General features: G+C 37.0%; 1 protein-coding gene across 10 annotated transcripts in view, besides 2 other annotated features; it reads right to left on the bottom strand.

Annotated features, from left to right (window-relative positions):
• The window catches only part of MME (membrane metalloendopeptidase), a 159,528-nt gene continuing 145,500 nt past the window's right edge, over window positions 4,170-18,197 (bottom strand). For 6 of the 10 annotated variants that reach the window (XM_047448157.1, NM_007288.3, NM_001354643.1 and 3 more), the window contains exons 21-23: window positions 15,687-15,782; window positions 15,287-15,363; window positions 4,170-7,539 (exon numbers count right to left, since the gene is read on the bottom strand). In XM_047448157.1, coding sequence (XP_047304113.1) covers window positions 7,440-7,539; window positions 15,287-15,363; window positions 15,687-15,782 — 273 coding nt within the window. In that variant the 3' untranslated portion in view covers window positions 4,170-7,439. The remainder of the gene's footprint in view (window positions 7,540-15,286; window positions 15,364-15,686; window positions 15,783-18,197) is intronic. The other 4 variants (NM_001354642.2, NM_000902.5, NM_007287.4 and 1 more) reach the window with 1 other exon arrangement.
• Window positions 8,045-8,339: an enhancer, noted in NCBI's record as "tiled region #4432; K562 Activating DNase matched - State 5:Enh". NCBI's record gives its function as "activates a minimal TATA promoter and a strong SV40 promoter by Sharpr-MPRA in K562 cells {active_cell/tissue: K562}" and the evidence as "EXISTENCE:reporter gene assay evidence [ECO:0000049][PMID:27701403]".
• Window positions 8,583-8,814: a silencer, noted in NCBI's record as "fragment chr3:154896874-154897105 (GRCh37/hg19 assembly coordinates)". NCBI's record gives its function as "represses an EF-1alpha promoter that drives an FKBP-Casp9 reporter gene in an ReSE screen in HepG2 liver carcinoma cells {active_cell/tissue: HepG2}" and the evidence as "EXISTENCE:reporter gene assay evidence [ECO:0000049][PMID:32094911]".

Below are 18,197 nucleotides of genomic sequence, written 5' to 3'. Positions count from 1 at the left end.
CATCCAGGATGTCTTTACCATGATAGGAAAGGAAATTCTCCTCAATTTTCAAATTTTGTTTTCTCTATATCTCTTGGCATGTCATGTTTAGCTGTGTAATATGTTTGTGTACATTTTTCATGTCTCTACTATATTAAAAGGACAATTGTTTTCATTTATCTTCTAATGGATCTGGTATAGTGCACCACACATAAATAATGCTCAATGTTTCACCAGTGAATAAGTGAACACATGTATTAGAGAAGTACAGTACTGGCTAAACAATATTGCTTTATCTTGCTTTTCTTTTCTAACTTTGTGTTTCCAATATAGTATCTTGAACGTATCAGATGATTAATAAATGTTTATTGATAGAATTACTTAAAATACTTGATAATGTGTATTATTTCTTTTAAAATAGGAGACATATAAGTAATATACTACTTTTCATTTCATTCATTTTTCTAAAAAGATATATGTTTTGGGAATTATTAGCTATAAATAATAAGTAGATTTTTTTTTTTTGTGAGATGGAGTCTCGCTCTGCCACCCAGGCTGGAATGCAGTGGCACAATCTCGGCTCACTGCAAGCTCCGCCTCCTGGGTTCATGCCATTCTCCTGCCTCAGCCTCCCAAGTAGCTGGGACTACAGGTGATGGCTGCCATGCCCAGCTAATTTTTTGTGTTTTTAGTAGAGATGGGGTTTCACCATGTTAGCCAGGATGGTCTTGATCTCCTGACCTTGTGATCCTCCTGCCTCGGCCTCCCAAAGTGCTGGGATTACAAGCATGAGCCACCTTGCCCAGCCAATGAGTTGATTTTGATAGGATTAAGTGCATTTTATAGTGAGGTACAGATTTGATAGTAAATTTACATAGACTTTGCACTTCAATATAACTTGGTTTAGTCCCTGGTCTTGTCATTTTCTGTGTGAATCTGGATAAGTCAGTTACACTCTCTGAAACTTAAATTCACCATCCATGAAATGGGGGTACTGGCTGGGCAGAGTGGCTCACACCTGTAATCCCAGAACTTTGGGATCACGAGGTCAGGAATTCAAGACCAGCCTGGCCAACATGGTGAAACCCTGCCTCTACTAAAAATACAAAAATTAGCCAGGTGTGATGGTAGGTGCCTGTAATCCCAGCTACTCGGGAGGCTGAGGCAGGAGAATTGCTTGAAACTGGAAGGCAGAGGTTGTAGTGAGCCGAGATCATGCCACTGCACTCCAGCCTGGGGGAAAGAGCAAATCTCCGTCTCAAAAAAAAAAAAAAAAAAGAAAAAAAAGGAAAGAAATGGGAGTACTAATATTAACCTCACAGGTTAGCTATATTAAATGAACACTTTATGCAAACAACTTAAATTATGTGCCCGGCTCACAATAAATAGTAAGTATCATTGTTCTTCCTTCCCATCCTTCTTTATTAATAACTTCATTTTCTTAAATATTAAATCTAACTAAACTATATAATGTCTTCTTTTTGATCAAAATGAAAATTAAGATAACATTTATTCTAAGAGTAATATGCACAATATAATCCAACCCGAAATGTTTTGTGAAGCTTTTGAGAATCATCTGGTAATTACTGGTGTTTTGAATGTCTTTTTCTTTTCCTTCTTCTTCTAGGAATGGTGCTTTTCTTCTTTTGAGAAATTGTCCTTCTTTGGCTCCATAGGAGATGAAAGATCATAATTCTACAACCTCCCCAATTCCTCATGCATTATCCACAGGGGCGGGCATGTTTCTAAAATAAGCCAATCGGTTTTTCTCTAGGATTTGTCAAATGTGTATTGTGATAAGAAATCTATCCTTCTCTTGGAGAGGAAATGGAGAATCTCTGAGCCTGAGTGTGGCTGACCATCATGACTTGACTTTAGAGAAAGCAAGTCTGCAACAATAAAGTAGACAGGGAAAGAAGGCCCAGTTATTCACACTCACCCCATATTTGGTAAGGCAGGTCAAAAAAATCTCTAGTTTTGGCTTACTTAGAGTGATTCTGACTTTCACATTTGCAACTAAAGTCTTACCAAATTTAAGCATATTTAAGCAGTGAGTCACCTGGGATTAGCTGTATCCTGCTCTTTCCTCCCTATTCAACCTCTAAATTTTAGCATCTGACCACAAGGTGAATTGTGGTGCCTACCAGGTGAAGCATTTAGATCTAATTACCACATAATCTACTGGTTTGTCTTTCACAGCCATACACTGTATCCTCATCTGGGTCAGGGTTTGGCAAATGCTGGGGTTTGGGGCGGGTTGGGGAGGTGCGGAGGACCAGGTGGGAGAGTGTGGCTGGGTCAGTCAACCTTTTAGCATTTTCAGGAAAAAGCCCAAAACCTCCTCTAGATTACATGCTTTGTTCTCACAGAAGCACTTTAAGTACCAGAGGAAGGTCCAGCAACTTCCTCCATTCTGTGTTATACAGTGTGTGTCAAAGTTACTTTATAAACAGATCTGGCCTGTCCTGGAGGCAGCAAGCTCTTGACCAAAATCTACTTCACCAGGTTCCTTGGGTCTAAGTTGCCTGAGACATCAAATTGAATAGGTCCTAAAAAGAATTAACAACCCTTTTATTTAGGGAAATTATATTTTTCTTTTTGGGTCAATTTCCCCCTCACTCCCCTCCCTTTCATATTCCTTTTCTTTTTCTTTCCAAATAATATTTTTAAAATGACTTTTTAAGAGTAACATTTTCCTATCACAGAAAAACTTAAAATGTAGAAAACCAAAAAAGGAAAATAAGAACTGCTTATAATACTACCACCCAGAGATAGCCCTGGTTAATTTTTGCCATATATTCTTCCAACTCTTTTTCTATGGAATAATATTTTAACATAGTTGATATGATAATGCATACTCAACATTGTGTCCTTTTTCTATTTTCATTTACTACATCTAAATATTTTCTGCTGGTCAGGTTTTCTGTTTATTTTTTGTTTTTTTTTTGAGACAGTCTTGCTCTGTTGCCTAGGCTAGAGTGCAGTGGCATAATCATGGCTCATTGCAGCTTTGACCTCCTGGGCTTAAGCGATCCTTCCACCTCAGCCTCTCGAGTAGCTGGGGTCACAGGCATGTGCCACTATGCCTGGCTAATTTTGTATTTTACTTTTTGTAGAGATGGGGTTTCCTTGTGTTACCCATGCTGGTCTTGAACTCCTGGGCTCAAGCAATCTTCCTGCCTCAGACTCCCAAAGTGCTGGGATTACAGGTGTGAGGCACTGCACCCAGCCCTAGTTAGTGTTTGAATCCCTATTTCTTTGGTGTTATAAAGCTGCCATACGTCTTAGCATTACATCTTTGATGCAGTATGTCAGAGGACATAGAGCATTCATAGCATGTAAGAAGGATTTACACCAAGGTAAAACGATAATACAGATACTTGGCTCCATTTGTCTTCCTGGATATAGCATAAATGTCAGATTGGAGATTCTATCAAGTGTATTTATAAGAGTGAAATGGGATGCTAATATGCCTAATACCCGCAAAATTGTCAGTTTCTGGGTAGAAGGAAAATCCAGAGTATAAACATTTATCATAAATATTAGTCTTTCCAGTCTTTCTATACTTCCCCAAGTTGGAAACTCATCATTATTTCTGGCAAGAGCCAATGATTATTTTTCTGCCAGACTTCCTTTGTACAACTGAGAAGATCTGTTTTGTCAAGCAAAATAGAAGCACAACATTTTGTCTATGAGGTTGAAAGTGAAAGTAGTGTTTCTCACTGTTTTAGAGGAAATGCAAAATACAAAGAAGCAGAAATTAAGAAACCATTGTTAGATAAAAGATTAGAATGCGATAAACATGTGCCAGTTTGACCACCAGTCAGATGTGACTCCTCTGTCCACTTGACCAACCAAATGGTCAACTTCTTCAGACTAGAGACTGTGGATAAAGACACTTACTTTTGGCTTTTGCCTAAGTCATCTGATTATGCTAGTGACTCCATATAACATTTGATGGCCATTTCACTTTTGAAAAAAAATCCAATCAGAAAGTCATGGTGATCTTTGAAAAAGGGTGGGGAAAACAAGGACATAATGGATACAAAGCTTATATCATTCATTTTCTAAAAATTCAATTTGAAGCTAGTGGGAAATGCAAGACTACAGAGATAAAAGCTCCATTTAATCTTAATATTTTTCAAGAAATAAATGGGGTAGAGATTTACACAGGAGTTGGCAGTTTGGAACAGAGTTGACTAGGCATAAAAGCAATAGTATTAAAAACGTTTGTTTTTATTTTGTATTTTTGAGACTGGAAACTGATAAAAATTTCTGATTAGGAAACTTTGAGAATAGAGTCTTTCTTCTTTCCAAAATAACAAATGTCTTTTAGTTTGAGAGCTCCAGCTGTGGCAACAAGAATGATAAATGCTTTTGAGAAAATTAGCAAGGTTTTGCCCCACTTAAATGGTTAACAGTAACAGCAGCACAGACCCAAACTTGATAAAACTTTGGTACTTGTTATTTGGACTAAAATTTTGTCTCACTCGATTCAGACACGTAAATGGGAGTTTTCAGTTTATCCTGCCCACTGATTCATAACTGGGAGACAGATTCATGGGAAGGCAGCATTGGACACATACTCCTTCTCTTGCTGAGAACCACCAATATAATCTAATTCTCTTTTTTTAGGTGAGAGAAGCAGAGGCCCAAAGGAATATTGCAAATACCCAAGGTCACCCTGTCAGGAGTGGCAGAATAGGGCTGGAACAAGGACTCTTTTCTCTGGACAGCTTGCACCTACAATCCTTTCCATCTTGCACCTACAATCCACTCGAACACTGCAGCATGGAGGCAGACTCCTTGCCAACGGGTATTGTCGAGAGCTTCTTCCTACCATCATTTGTGAGTTTCATCAGCTCCCAACCCTTTGTGTCTCAGCTTCTAAACTTTCTTTCTTTGACCAGAACTCAGCCATAGTAGAACTGGATTTATGGATGGAATTAGAGATATGTCTTATCTGATGTGACAACTCCAAAGAATCGGTAGTGCTTTAGAGACATCAGAAGGCTCTACAGAACTCAACAAGAGTACCATGTAAAATTCATGATGTCTGGATGTGTGAGGGATAGGGAGGCATTGCTATTTTTGACTTTGATCTATCCTTTAGGCCCAGAAAATCTTATATTTGTAGACAGAGGGGATCCAGGCACTGGAGAGTTGTTCCTCCATAGGGATGGGAGCCTAATGTTTTAAAAAGCTAACAGTGAAGAGTCTAGTGGCTTTTTATAATTTGTACTAGTCACTCTTCACTTCTGGCTCTTCACCTGCTCTGACATGATGGAAATAAAATAAGTTAGAGACAGCTGTTTTATTAGAGCTGGAAGCTCCTATTACTCCAACTACAAATGTCACTTAGGTAAGTTTTAAATGTATTTTAGGGAAATATAAGTATACTTGTAACGGTGGTTGTGATAAAGGAGGAAAGGGTAAGGGTATCCACAGTTGGCTTGAAACTATAATTTCAATGCTTATAATAATTTTTGGAAGGATTTGAAGAAATAAGTCCATTAAAGGCTCAAGTAAGATGGTAACATGCAGTACATTCATAGTTGCACTATTTGTAATAGCGCCAAAATGGAAAGTTCTCAAGTGCCCATCAACAATAGGATGAACAAATTGTAATAAGTCCCACAATAGAACATTATTCTGCAATGAGAATGAAAAGATCCACAATCAGCACAATACAGAGGAATCTCACAAATGTAAGGCTGAGAGAAAGAAGCCAGGCACAAAAGAATACATACTGATTGATTCTATCTGCATAAAAGACAAAACCAGGCAAAGCTAGTGAATGATATTAGAAGTCAGGATAGTTGTTGTTCTGGGAGTAATAAAGTGACAAGGAGGTGCTTTTAGAGCGCTGGTACTGCTCTGTTTCTTACAGGTGCTGGCTACAGGGCCATTGTTCAGTTAAAGTTAAGTTTATTGAACTGTATACTTATGCTTTATGCAATTTATGTACATATGTTATAGTATTTCTGTAACTTTTTTTTTTAAAGGCAAATGGGCATTTTTCAAGAGACAGGGAACTAATACTCATCATTTAGATAGAAATTCCCTGCTTTCATCTTTTGTTAGGAAAAATAAGAATTTTGGAAGTGCTCCTCTTTTGTAAAATCTTAATCAAGTAATGAACGAAAATAGTCAATACAACAGGAAAAGAGAGGAACAGAAGCCTCAAAAGATGAATTCCTATCAAGCAGTAAACAGTTCTTTTCCAGAACTCTTTGTGACTTATAATTCTAGAAGGTCCATCAGAGGCCTCCCATTTCTATTCAGAAATGCACTTCTAAAGTTAGACAGTTGTCACAGTCTTAGGGAGCAATGAGTTCACAATTTCAATTTATTATCAAAATATTTCCATCTGATGACAAACCTGAAAAGACAGGAGATGCAGAGCTACATAGGTGCAGATTTGCCCTTTTATCAGAGACACTCTCAGGGACAGATTTAATTTTGAAAGTCCAATTTGAAAACCACAAGTATATATATCTCTAGACAACTGTCCAATGGCAATTTTTACCCTAAAGTTTGTGCTTAAATCTTTTCATCAATATGATTTATAAGTTTAAATAGTCTCAAATTTTCATCTGTATATCGCTTTATAGATCTTGGTTCACAACTGTTTATTTTAAGCTGAAACTTCAATATTCATTGATTACCTATAATAATAGTTACTCATAAATGTAGTTAATAATTAAATATAAAAATTATTATTTTTACATTTATATAAATCTCTGAAAAATACCAAGTTTTGAGAGATAGAGCAAGAAATTGCTTAGAAAATTGCAGGAAGCCTGAAGAATCTCAGCATCAGTCAAAGCAGGTACAACAAAAAACAATTTTAGACATTCATTTTTTGCTTTAAGAGTGCTTAAAATAAATGATCACAGAATGAATAACTGATGTATGGCAAAAATGAGTTTAAAACTATGTAAGCTCCAAGGCCCCAATGTGTATAAGAATTCTTTGGAAGGATTTTGAAGGACTGTAAATGTTGCAAATAAAAGTAAAAACTAGTAGTTAGGCAATGTGTTTTAAACTATAGTGTCACCTACTGTTCTTCTGGTGCCTAACTGTATTCTTCAACATCTTCTTTTCCCTTTTGATTAGAAATCCTGGTCTACCTCAAAGGTTTTGCATTGTTTTCTAGGGACATCAGCAAACTGGTAGACCATATGAGAAACAGAAATAAACAGTAATATTATCTTTAGAAATTAAGCATTATGTACACAGTGAGAAATGATTGACTTGATAGACCTTAGACCCCCTTCCTCCCTCCACACCCTTTCTAGGACAACCTAATGTTATCTGTATTGTGATGGTGCCCTCTCTGTTAATCACCCTCAAGTCAGTACAGTGACCCCTAGGGCCCATTTTCTTTCGATTAGAGAATTCCCCATTTCTGTGGTGTTGGCAAGTCTAGCCAAGGGCTGCAATGCTTCTTTTGAAGATCACCAAACCCGGCACTTCTTTTCTGGATTCATGTATGAATTCTTGCGGCAGTGAAAGGCTTCTGAAAACTCTGCAGAGTTCTGCAAAGTCCCAATAATCCTTTGAAACAAACAAAAAAAGTCACCGTCAGCATTTGATACTCACGTCCATACCACACTGGAGCCCTGAAGCATTTCCCTCTGCAGGTCAAGTGAATGAATTTGGAATTTAAAGTTAAACTTAAAATAACCTGGTACAATGAGTCAGTGCCTTCTCATTAACAGAATTTTTAAATGGAGAAGTAACAAAGAACAGGAGTTAAAAGCAATTTGGGAGACAGACTACATGGCTTGAATCCTGCTTATGAAGCTTCTTTGTGCCTTGGTTTCTGCACAATAGAACATGCATCTTAAGGTTGTCATGGAGAGTTAATAATTTATAAGCATTATATGTGTTTGTAAAACATGAATAATTCACATTTGAAAATGCAGGTATTTGGAGTTGTATTATAATAAGAGTTTGGTCAAAGAATATAATCATGATTTCTCACTATGTCTTGAAAGGGCTCACATAATGACTTAAATATAATAGACTTTAAATAGATATTTTTTGTTGCTTTTATAGAGGATTATTTTCCTTTTTTCCAAAAGGGCTCCTTAAATATCAGAAGCTGGATTCAGCTTGAATAACTGGAAAGGGCTGGCAAAATGCCATTTTCCTCTTATCTCTGACCCCAGTGGGCAAAAACAACACAGTCCAACTCACTATCTGCACCTAGCAGTGTTTGAGGGGAGAGATGGGTCAGTACATTGATGCAGAGGTGATGTTTTCACACCCACCCTGAACCCTGAACCACCTCCTTCCCTTCTCCTCCTGCTAAGGCCAGCCTACCACGTTTGCTTGGGTTGGGAGGAGGGGCCCAGAGACAAGTGGACTGGTTTGGAAGGACTAGGCACAAATGACAGGTGAGTCCATTTTGATTTATGGAATTCTCCCTACGTGGCAGGTGTACTACTGTGTGTACATCTTAGGACTTCTCTCTCCTCCAACCATTCTCCACACCACAGTCAGAATGATCTGTAAAATTTAAATCAGATTCCATAATCTCAGATTTAAAACCTTCCATGGACTTGAAGGAAATCTAAACTCCTGTCCATGGCTTCCAATGTCCTCCTGATGGCTCCAGTCTCCTCTCTAGCCTCCTCGTGGTACATTTCTCTTCCTGTTCCTCCTTAGGCTCAAACTATGCTGACCTACCTTCAGTTCCTCAAACCAGCCAAACCCTGTCCCTCTTCAGAGCTTCCTGCTACCTGCAGACCCTACTCCCTGGAAAGTTACTCACCAGTCAGTACATGGCTAACTCCTCAGCCTTCATGCCTTTGCTTAAATATTCCTTCCTTGGCCCCCTTCTTTGAATGCCATCTAAACTAACTCCTCTTACAGGGACTATCCCTATCAAAGCACTTACCACATTTACAATGATTTGTTCTCCTTTTTTACTTCCTGACACACCCACTAGACTAATTTCTATGAGGGCAAAATACAGCCTTTGTATCCTTGAGTTCCACATCTGTGGATTCAACCAAATGCGGCTGAACATATGTGGGGGAAATATTTTGTCTACTGAACGTATGGACTTACTTTTCTTATCATTAATCCCTAAAGAATACAGTATAACAAATATTTACATAGCATTTACATTGTATTAGGTATTATAAGTAATCTAGAGGTGACAAAGTATAGGAGGGAGAAGGTGTATAGGTTATATGCAAATACTACACCATTTATATCAAGGAGTTGAGCATCCACAAATTTTGATATCTGCAGGGAGCCTGGAACCAAACCCCCACAGATGCTGAGGGAAGATGCTGTACTGTGTATGTCTTGCTCACTGCTGCACCCCCAAAGTCCAGCACAGGACTCAGTACATACTGAATGAATTAACCTGTGACCTGGTTGGTCACAGTGATTACCTGTAGAGAAGCAATAGGGTATTAGGAAGAAAAACACGACTTAGTGTTTCTGTTGTTTGTTTGATATTATGGACCAACTGGAAGAGAAAGAAAGCATTTTCTTTCCCTTTCCTCATTCCAGAAAAGAGAGATCCATATGGATTTTTTGTAAGTCTGACTTTCTAATATGTCACCCATCAACGCATCAACTAACTTCTCTATCCCTCTCCACCACAACTCTCCTATCTTTCATGGAGGATGTAATCTTTTCTGGTTGTTTGTTTTTTAGGATTCCTAGATGAGTCTTAAAGACGAAAAATAATCTCCTGGTGTGGGAGGGTTGAGGTGAAGTGGAGTCAGAAGCTGGGGAATTTATATATTAGTCCACTTGTCAGGGAGATGATTGGCCTTCCCAAGAATGGGGTAGGTTCCAGTAATGGCAGGTTGTGTGAATGACAAGAAGATGCTTCCTGCTCTGAGCAAGGCCCCGAGAGGCCCTCTGATAGCATGGCGTGTGGTTGTTGGAGAACCTGGACATGAAGAGTGGAGGCTCTGGAGCTCATGAGCATTGGAAGGAAATGGAACCACTGACTCCAGCTGGAGCATTTGGACTGTAGGGATCTCAGCAGTGACCACGGTGGGCTGAAGATGGAGGCTATTCTCTAATTTCTATGCCTGTGTGATGATATCAGATTCCTGAATAACCCTGAAAGAGTACGTTGAAAAACCACTGAAAGTAAATGGCTCATCTCCTAGCTTGGTCTAAGAGCTCAGAGTTTGGCTTAATTTGATTGAAAAAAACAAATGTCCATTTCTTACATCTGAAATATTGAAAAACAAATTCACTATTTGGACCATGTGAGAGTACAAGGAGAAGTCTGCAGTCTGCAAACCAGAAGATGGCCCTCACCAGAACCTGATCATGCTGGCACCCTGATCTTAGACTTCCGGTCTCCAGAACTGTGAGAAACAAATTTCCATTGTTCATGAGCCAAAAAAAAATCACTTCTATAATGTAGTCAAAAGTGACTGTTTATGTAGGAATTAAAAGAGCTTAGAAATTAGGAATTTGCATTGGTCTTTAGTCTTTCAGGTTGCGGGACTCAAGGATTCTTTATGTTAGAGAGGAGCTTTGATTCATTAATGCAACCTTCTTCCCAATTCAGGATGCCTAGCTACTGGCTAAAGACAGTCATCCTGTCATCCTGGGCATTCCTCACACTAGGGAGCAAGCTCCCTGGTTGACAGGGTAAGCCATCAGCATCACTGACTGGAAGAGCTGCATGTTTTTGTTTTTATTTTATTAATTTTTTCCAAAGGATTTTTTCTTAGATTTTATCATATGGGAACAAGTACTTCGGTAATAATGTCCAAACCCACGACTTAATTCTATATTTTTCTTAAAAAGTATTTTTAGGATTTATATTTATAAATCTCAAAATTAAGTTAAAACAACAAACAAAAAACACCTAAAAGAAAGAAACGTCTTCAGATAACACCGCAGAGAGTGGGCACTGCAGAAATACTCAGCCTGGTGTGCACTCAGCTCTCCATGCCCATTCTGCCCATCCTCTTTCCATCCAAAGACTCTACCTAATTTGATCCTGAATAGATCAACAACACACTAGGGCTTCACTTACTTTCTTAGTTAACATTTGGTGTTTATGACATCAAATCTTTGAATAGATCATCTATTTTTTCTGAGACAGGGTCTCGCTCTGTCACTCAGGTTGGAGTGTAGAGGCACGATCACAGCTCACTGCAGCCTTGACCTCCTGGGTTCAAGCAATCCTCCTGCCTCAGCCTCCCAAGTAGCTGGAACTACAGGCATGTACCAGCATGCCTGGGTAATTTTTTTGTTTTTAATAGAGACGAGGTCCCACTATGTCACCCAAGCTGGTCTTGAACTCCTGAGCTCAAGTGATCCTCCCTCCTTGGCCTCCCAAAGTGCTGGAATTAACAAGTGTGAGTGACTGTGCCAGGCCTAGATAATCTATTTTGAAAAGTGAATCCATTATTAATAAAACACTTTTTTTCTAAGAGTGAGATCACATTACATGAATTATCCTCTGTTATTAGAAGATATGTACATGATTTTCATGCTTTACAAAACTGTGTGCTTGTGTTTCTAATAACAGAAGATAATAAAGCTTTTATTAATTATTTCTTAAGGTGATTTACTTGAAATTTTTACTTTATTATGTAAAATAACTTATTGTACTGCTGATGTTTATTCCCTTGGCAAACAGTTACTTGCATTAAAAACATCTAAGAGATTTGGCATTGGGACCAAGAATGGACTTTATATCCTATCTGACTATTCCTGCCTACTACAATTGGACTTCTGAATTACTGTTTGCAATTAATGGGTCCTCAGACAACCTTTTGTTAATTCTTGTAAATGAATGACTTGGCTACATAGTTAACTGCCTTCATTCAGGAATAAGGTATCCAATCTTCATCATTAACTAATTTTTATGATTCTTTCAAAGCAAAGTCATATTGATGAGTGTATGTTCTGCTATACAGTCATAAATAAATAAATGCTGTAATAGATTTCTAGTTATCAGCTAAAGATTGGAGGGGCTAACAGAAATTCTGCAAAACTCACTAAAATCTATATTGATATCTATAAATATCAGGAACCAATGCTAATATTGAAGGGAAATGGAAGAAACAGAAGAATTTCAAAGAGGGCTTATTAGCATGCTAAATTACAGAGTTATGAAGGAACAAAATAGCCATATTAGTTGACATGTCTATATAAAACACTAGACAAAATATTCCTTCAAAATATTAGAAATTAAGCTGTGAGAAACATTTCTTGCTTTGATAGTGGTGTCAGTTCTAAAAGTGCCCTTTCTTCCTGACTGGAAGATAATGTTGAGTAATCTAAGCACCTAAATCATTTTGTCTATTTGGACTTGCTTTACAAAATTATCAGACCCTTACATATTATATAGAAAATTACAGCTAAATAATTTTAGAAACATATTTATAGATTACATATAAATATTATAATAAATATTCCCTGAAATGACTATAGATGGCTAACCAAAAACTGGATTTCCAAAATGAAGTCAATATTTAAATTATAGATTCAATTTCTAGACTATTAAAAGAAGAATGTTTTTGGATTAAATACCATTTAAATTTAACAAAATGTTTTCTGAGCTAATCAAAATGGAGGAATTAGGGAACTAAAGGCAGGCAATACAATAATAGGAAAGAAAACTAGGAAAGAAACAAACACACAGAAAAACCCTAATAAAAACCCAAAATAAGTCAAAAAGCATCACAATTGGTATAAGAATAAATAGCTCCACAGACTAAATTAATAAACAGTAAAACCATAACTAATAATCATAAAGTAGTCTGTGTCATCAAAATTTTAAAAAAGGTTAGGCTTTTTTTTTCAGGATATTGTTTTAAGGCAGGAAGGTAGAAATGTGTTTTTAATAGATAATTTTTAATCCAGTGGTTAAGATAAAAATGTTAATACTTAAAAGAGACAAACTTTACCTATCAAAACTTAATTTGCAACCTCTCATTCTCTGAGGATGGTAGATATACTAGGTATTACAATAATATTACTGAAATTCACCTAGGTTTTTATGACTTATGTTTTAGTTTATGGAGATATGCAGGGCAAACCCTTGACAAATTAGGTTGCATGGTGGTTTTTATGAGCTTATAAATGCTAGCTGCTATCCTTAGAATTAGATTCTTATACCTTAACTTCTAAAGTTTATTTTAAAGTACATAAATAAAGCTTTAGTCAGGAAGAATAAAACAACAATAGGTTAGACATAGCAAATATGGTTTTATGATGCAGCTTTGTATCAAGTGTATTTTGCCTTTTGTTTTAATACTATGGCTATTTAAACATAAGGTTACAAATCTCTCTCTAATTCAGAAATATTTCTATATAACCACCAAGCACAATTCTTAAATAGCAACTCGATATCTATTAATTTTTAAAGTTTTTTTAAAAAATATGTTTTACTTTGTACAGCCAGGAAGTGGCCTGTTTCCAAAACTAAATGTAAGCTCAACCTTTTGCCAAGAAAATCTCCTTACCTCCAGAGAAAACAATAATTTCCTTGACAAAAGGTTGGCATTCCATTTACCCATTCCATTTACCCTTCACACACACACACACACACACACACACACACACACACACACACACACACACACACGCTTCTGTTGTTATGAATGAAAAATAGTCGATGAGGGATCTTTGGAACCAGAACAACAATAAAGACTTAAAGATACAAATAATTTAACTAATTTATAGCAAAATATTGTTTTCAGTTTAAAATTGGAGCTAGAAAACAGTTATATACTTATGTACGTTTTACTTAACTGCTGATCAGTTACTAACATTCTGAAATGTGCAGAACATAAGAAATGAGCACCAAAAAAGCCTTGACTGATAGGGAACTATTACAAAATGCATAAGAATTCTTATTCTGTTCATACCTCTTGTCTACAAATAATCCTAGTATGGACTTTCAAACACACACACACAAAATAGGCTCTTCATTTATATTAACGTTAATCCTCTAGCAACTCTCATGATAATTTAATCCTTATTTTACATATCAAGAAACTGAGGTACAGAGGTTACATTAACAGCTAGTAAATGGTGAAGCCATGGTTGGAACTCAAGTGTTTCTTACCTCAAAGCTTAAGTTCACTTTAGTAAGGAAAAAGACAACTTTAAAAAAATTAAAACTAAAAGTTTTTTGAATAAACCACAATGGGAATTAATCCAGTCACTTTTGTTGCTCATTACCTATAAAGCAGTTAATTTGAATATCTTAGCAGAACTAAATTTAGCTTGGATTACAGAGATAATAGGCATACCATAAGCAGTTATTGAGTGAATGAATATTGAAAGAAATGTTAGGGCAAATACTAGATGATGATGATGATGATGATGATGATGACAACGATGATACTAGCAAGCTGAATAAATTCTTTAATTTTTAAATGAACTACTTTATTGCTTCATAATTAAATGTGTTTTTCTCCATAATCGAATGTGTTTTTTCCCAGGAGTAAATGATCTGGGCAGTATGCTTACATTCATTTTATGTAGAGCTTTTGAAATTTAGCCCATTAGTTCTCTTTTGTTCTCAAATTTCATTTTCCAACTACCCTACAAAATTTTTAGGTTTTTTTTTTTAACTTTCTTGCCTGAGAGGTGTTGTTGATCAGCAAATGAGTGACTAAGTGTTCTAGTACATGGGAAAGGGGTAGCATTAGGAATTCAGTTCTTAAACAAATACATAGGATCTATGATTTAACATTCAAATGTTGGTTGGAGTGACTCTCTTCAATCATTGTTCTCTTTGATTTTCTAATTTGGGAAGAACTTTAACTTCTTCTAGCTCAGTTTTCTACTCTGTAGAGCATTTTTCTCTCACATCCTTGATGGGCTGTGCTTCAATGTACTCTCTCCTGAAGCTTTGGGAATAATGTTATTCCATATTGAAGAACCTCTAATTAGTAGAAAGTTTCCTTTATATTGAAATTTTTCTTTGCAAGTTGGAGCTCATTGGGTCTGGGCCTAAACCATTCACAGCCTCTTAGAAATATCTTTGTTCTAGCTTTAAATTGAGCCACTGTTCTGAGGCGACATCTTTGTTGGAATAGATCAAGCCCTGAGCCTCGTAGATTCTAAGGAATTATAATTATTGTAGATTCTAAGAAAGAGAGTGGCCAAGGCTATGCTTATGTAGAATGCTCCGATGTGTTCTCTCGATCCTACCTTTGACTCTCAAAAAAAAAAAAAAGCACTGAATTTCCAAATGTAAAAGAATCAGAGTTAGAAAAGTCTAAATTCCAAATGTGGAAGCAATGGACCCAATATAAGAGCACCTTGATTGCTGTTCATATCCACGCACCTGAAATTGCCTGGACTGTGCACATCTGTTTTAATGGAGTTAACCGCATACTCTGGCCTATAGGTTCCACACCACACCTAGAGATAGGAATAGGAAAAGCAAAGCATGTACTCAGGTTCAATCAAGGATTATTTGTTTGAGCAAGTTGAGGGGAAGGAGAAAAATTAAATTGGAATTCTGCATTCCTCAACCATTCGCTCTTCAAATAATGTTCAATGAAAGGCAACCAGGAACATAGTTATTTATCATTAATATGATCCAACAGTCTATTATAAACAATGAAAGTGAATCAAGTCAAATGCTCTGTAAAACAAGGGAACTCAGCATGTGACATCTAACTTACTGTGAAATTATAACTCAAAATGGTTTTCATATCTATCAATCAAGAAAGACACAATACCTGTGCAAAGTTCAAGAAAAATAGTTGTTTGTGATTTAGGTCAAGTCCAGGAAGTAATTTTTCTTCGCCATTCTTTTTAATATAATTCTGATAGGCCTAGGCAGTTGATAAAATAGAAAAACAATAATATTAATTCCTAAGGTTATATATAAACCTATGTAAAAGATCATGCCACCAAGTAATTAACATTTTATGTTAAAATCACCCTGATAATACATTTAGTTATGGTAACCTACAACTATTTTATGGATTAGAAAGACAAATCAAATTTATTTACAAATGCTTTGAAAAGAAGAAGCTACTGAATAGTAGATGACAAGAGCCTGGCATATGTCAAGTGATCAATAAATGTCAACTGAATGAATGGATGACCTAAATAAGTGATGAAAAACTTATCTAAATGTTGTTTTATAAATTGATGAATAAGACCAGTCAGGACAAATGAATTGCCAAGGAAGTCTGCAATTGCTACATTTAACTTAGTTACTACTATCTTAGCAAAATAGACTCACCAGACTAAGATCGAGTGATTCTTGCCAAGTCAAAGGATTCTCTTGAGATCCCTTAGAGGCCTAGTCTCCAATGAGTCTGAGGATAATAAAATGCAACTATTCTGGTCTTTTGAAGACAGGACAAAATGGACTGAGCCTCAGGTACATTTGAAGGAAAATATTTAGGTAATTTGAATGTCAGAAAATCCTCTTAATTCTTAAAGATTTATGCTACTGAAAAAAATGAGTTTTCCTCTACTAAATAAACTTTTAAAACGAATTCATAATAAACGTTCTGAGATGTGTCATTTCCAATTTAATACAAAGGAATGTGACCAACTAGATGAGCAGAAAATATATTTCATTTCTTCCACTTACCGTCAACATAGACTTATTGAACCTCTACTATGTAAAGATGCTGGGGATATGGGAAAGGCTTGCACCTGCTCCCTCTTAGAGAGCTCGCAATCTAGCAGGGGGGCAAGGCATTACACGTTAAGAATTTACATATTTTCAAAGTGTAATAAAATATTTGCACAATTGTAATTTGCTTCATCATTAACAATTCTGTACTTGCTCTAGGTGAGGTTCTCCATGGGAGTACTATCAATCCCAACTTTGGCTGGATTTTATAGCAGTGATTCTCAATCTGGCTGTGTATTAGAATCACCATGGGAATATTGAGTGCCAATGCCTTCCACTTTCAGCCAAGATGGAATGATAGGGACTGGATTTAACTTCTTGTGGAAACAACTAAATGATGAACAAAATATTTAAAACAATGGTTTGCATAACACTGAACATCAGGCAAAAGGAGAATGACCCCTGAGAGATGTTAAACTTTACTCTCAGTGAGTCCCATGACTGCTGAGCTTATTGTCCTGAGAGTTTTCAGGCCATATCATAGGAGCAAACCAGTCAGAGCTGGGGGTACTCCTTGAGTTGAGGATAAGGAGCTGAGAGTTCAGGGACACCAAGAACAGGTTACTAAAGAGGAGAAAGCTACACAAAAAGAGAACCTCAGAGATTACAGATGGTCATCCTCAAGCATTCAGCTTAGTCTTGATCTGAAGATGTGTGTGAGCAAAATACCCAATGCTAGGAAAACAATATCTCAAAAGGATTAGAGATAATAATTTATGGTACTTACACAGGACAAGAATGGAAATCCCCAAGATTCACAGAGTAGATTCTTATCTCAGCAGTTGAGAATAATGTCCCTAGACTGAACACTGTCCCCATCCCAACCAATAAAAGTTACAAAAGGAAGACCCAAAAAGATCAAACCATTTTCAAGGAATTTAACTGTATCCTAGAATAAAGCTCAAGAATATTTACAGGAACAAAAGAACATCCAGACCCAAAGAGGTAAAATGCGGTCAGGCACAGTGGCTCACACCTGTGTTCCCAGCACTTTAGGAGGCCAAGGCAGGTGGATCGCTTGATGTCAGGAGTTTGAGACCAGCCTGGCCAACATGGCGAAATCCCATCTCTACTACAAATACAAAAATTAGCCAGGTGTGGTGGCACATGCCTGTAATCCCAATTCTTGGGAGGCTGAGGCAGGAGAATTGCTTGAACCCAGGAGGTAGAGGCTGCAGTGAGCCGAGTTCGTGCCACTGCATTCCAGCCTGGGCGACAGAATGAGACTCCATCTCAAAAAAAAGAGGTAAAATGCATAATGTCTGGCATCGAACAAAAAAATTACTAAACATTCAAAGTAGCAGCAATCTCCCATGTCCCTGGAACTGGTTGGACTCATTCTTTTGGAAACCTTGTAGCTGACTTAATCTCCCAAGCTTCACACTCTGATCATCTTTGGTCACTGACAAACTGCAGGCCCCATCAGTCACCTCTTTCTCCACTTCTCTGGTGCTTCCTCTTCCCTGATCCAACCATTGATGTTCACCTCCTCCACTCTAATCCAAACATTTCTATAATGAACAAATGATTCTACATCCTCATTCACTCCACTGATCATTCCATCCATCCTTGTCTTAGAGAAGCCTAGTTCTAGCCT

Source organism: Homo sapiens, chromosome 3, assembly GCF_000001405.40.
Source record: "Homo sapiens chromosome 3, GRCh38.p14 Primary Assembly".
Taxonomy (NCBI): domain Eukaryota; kingdom Metazoa; phylum Chordata; class Mammalia; order Primates; family Hominidae; genus Homo; species Homo sapiens.
The sequence above is the reverse complement of the archived record's forward strand: the minus strand, read 5'-3'. Positions and strand labels throughout refer to the sequence as shown.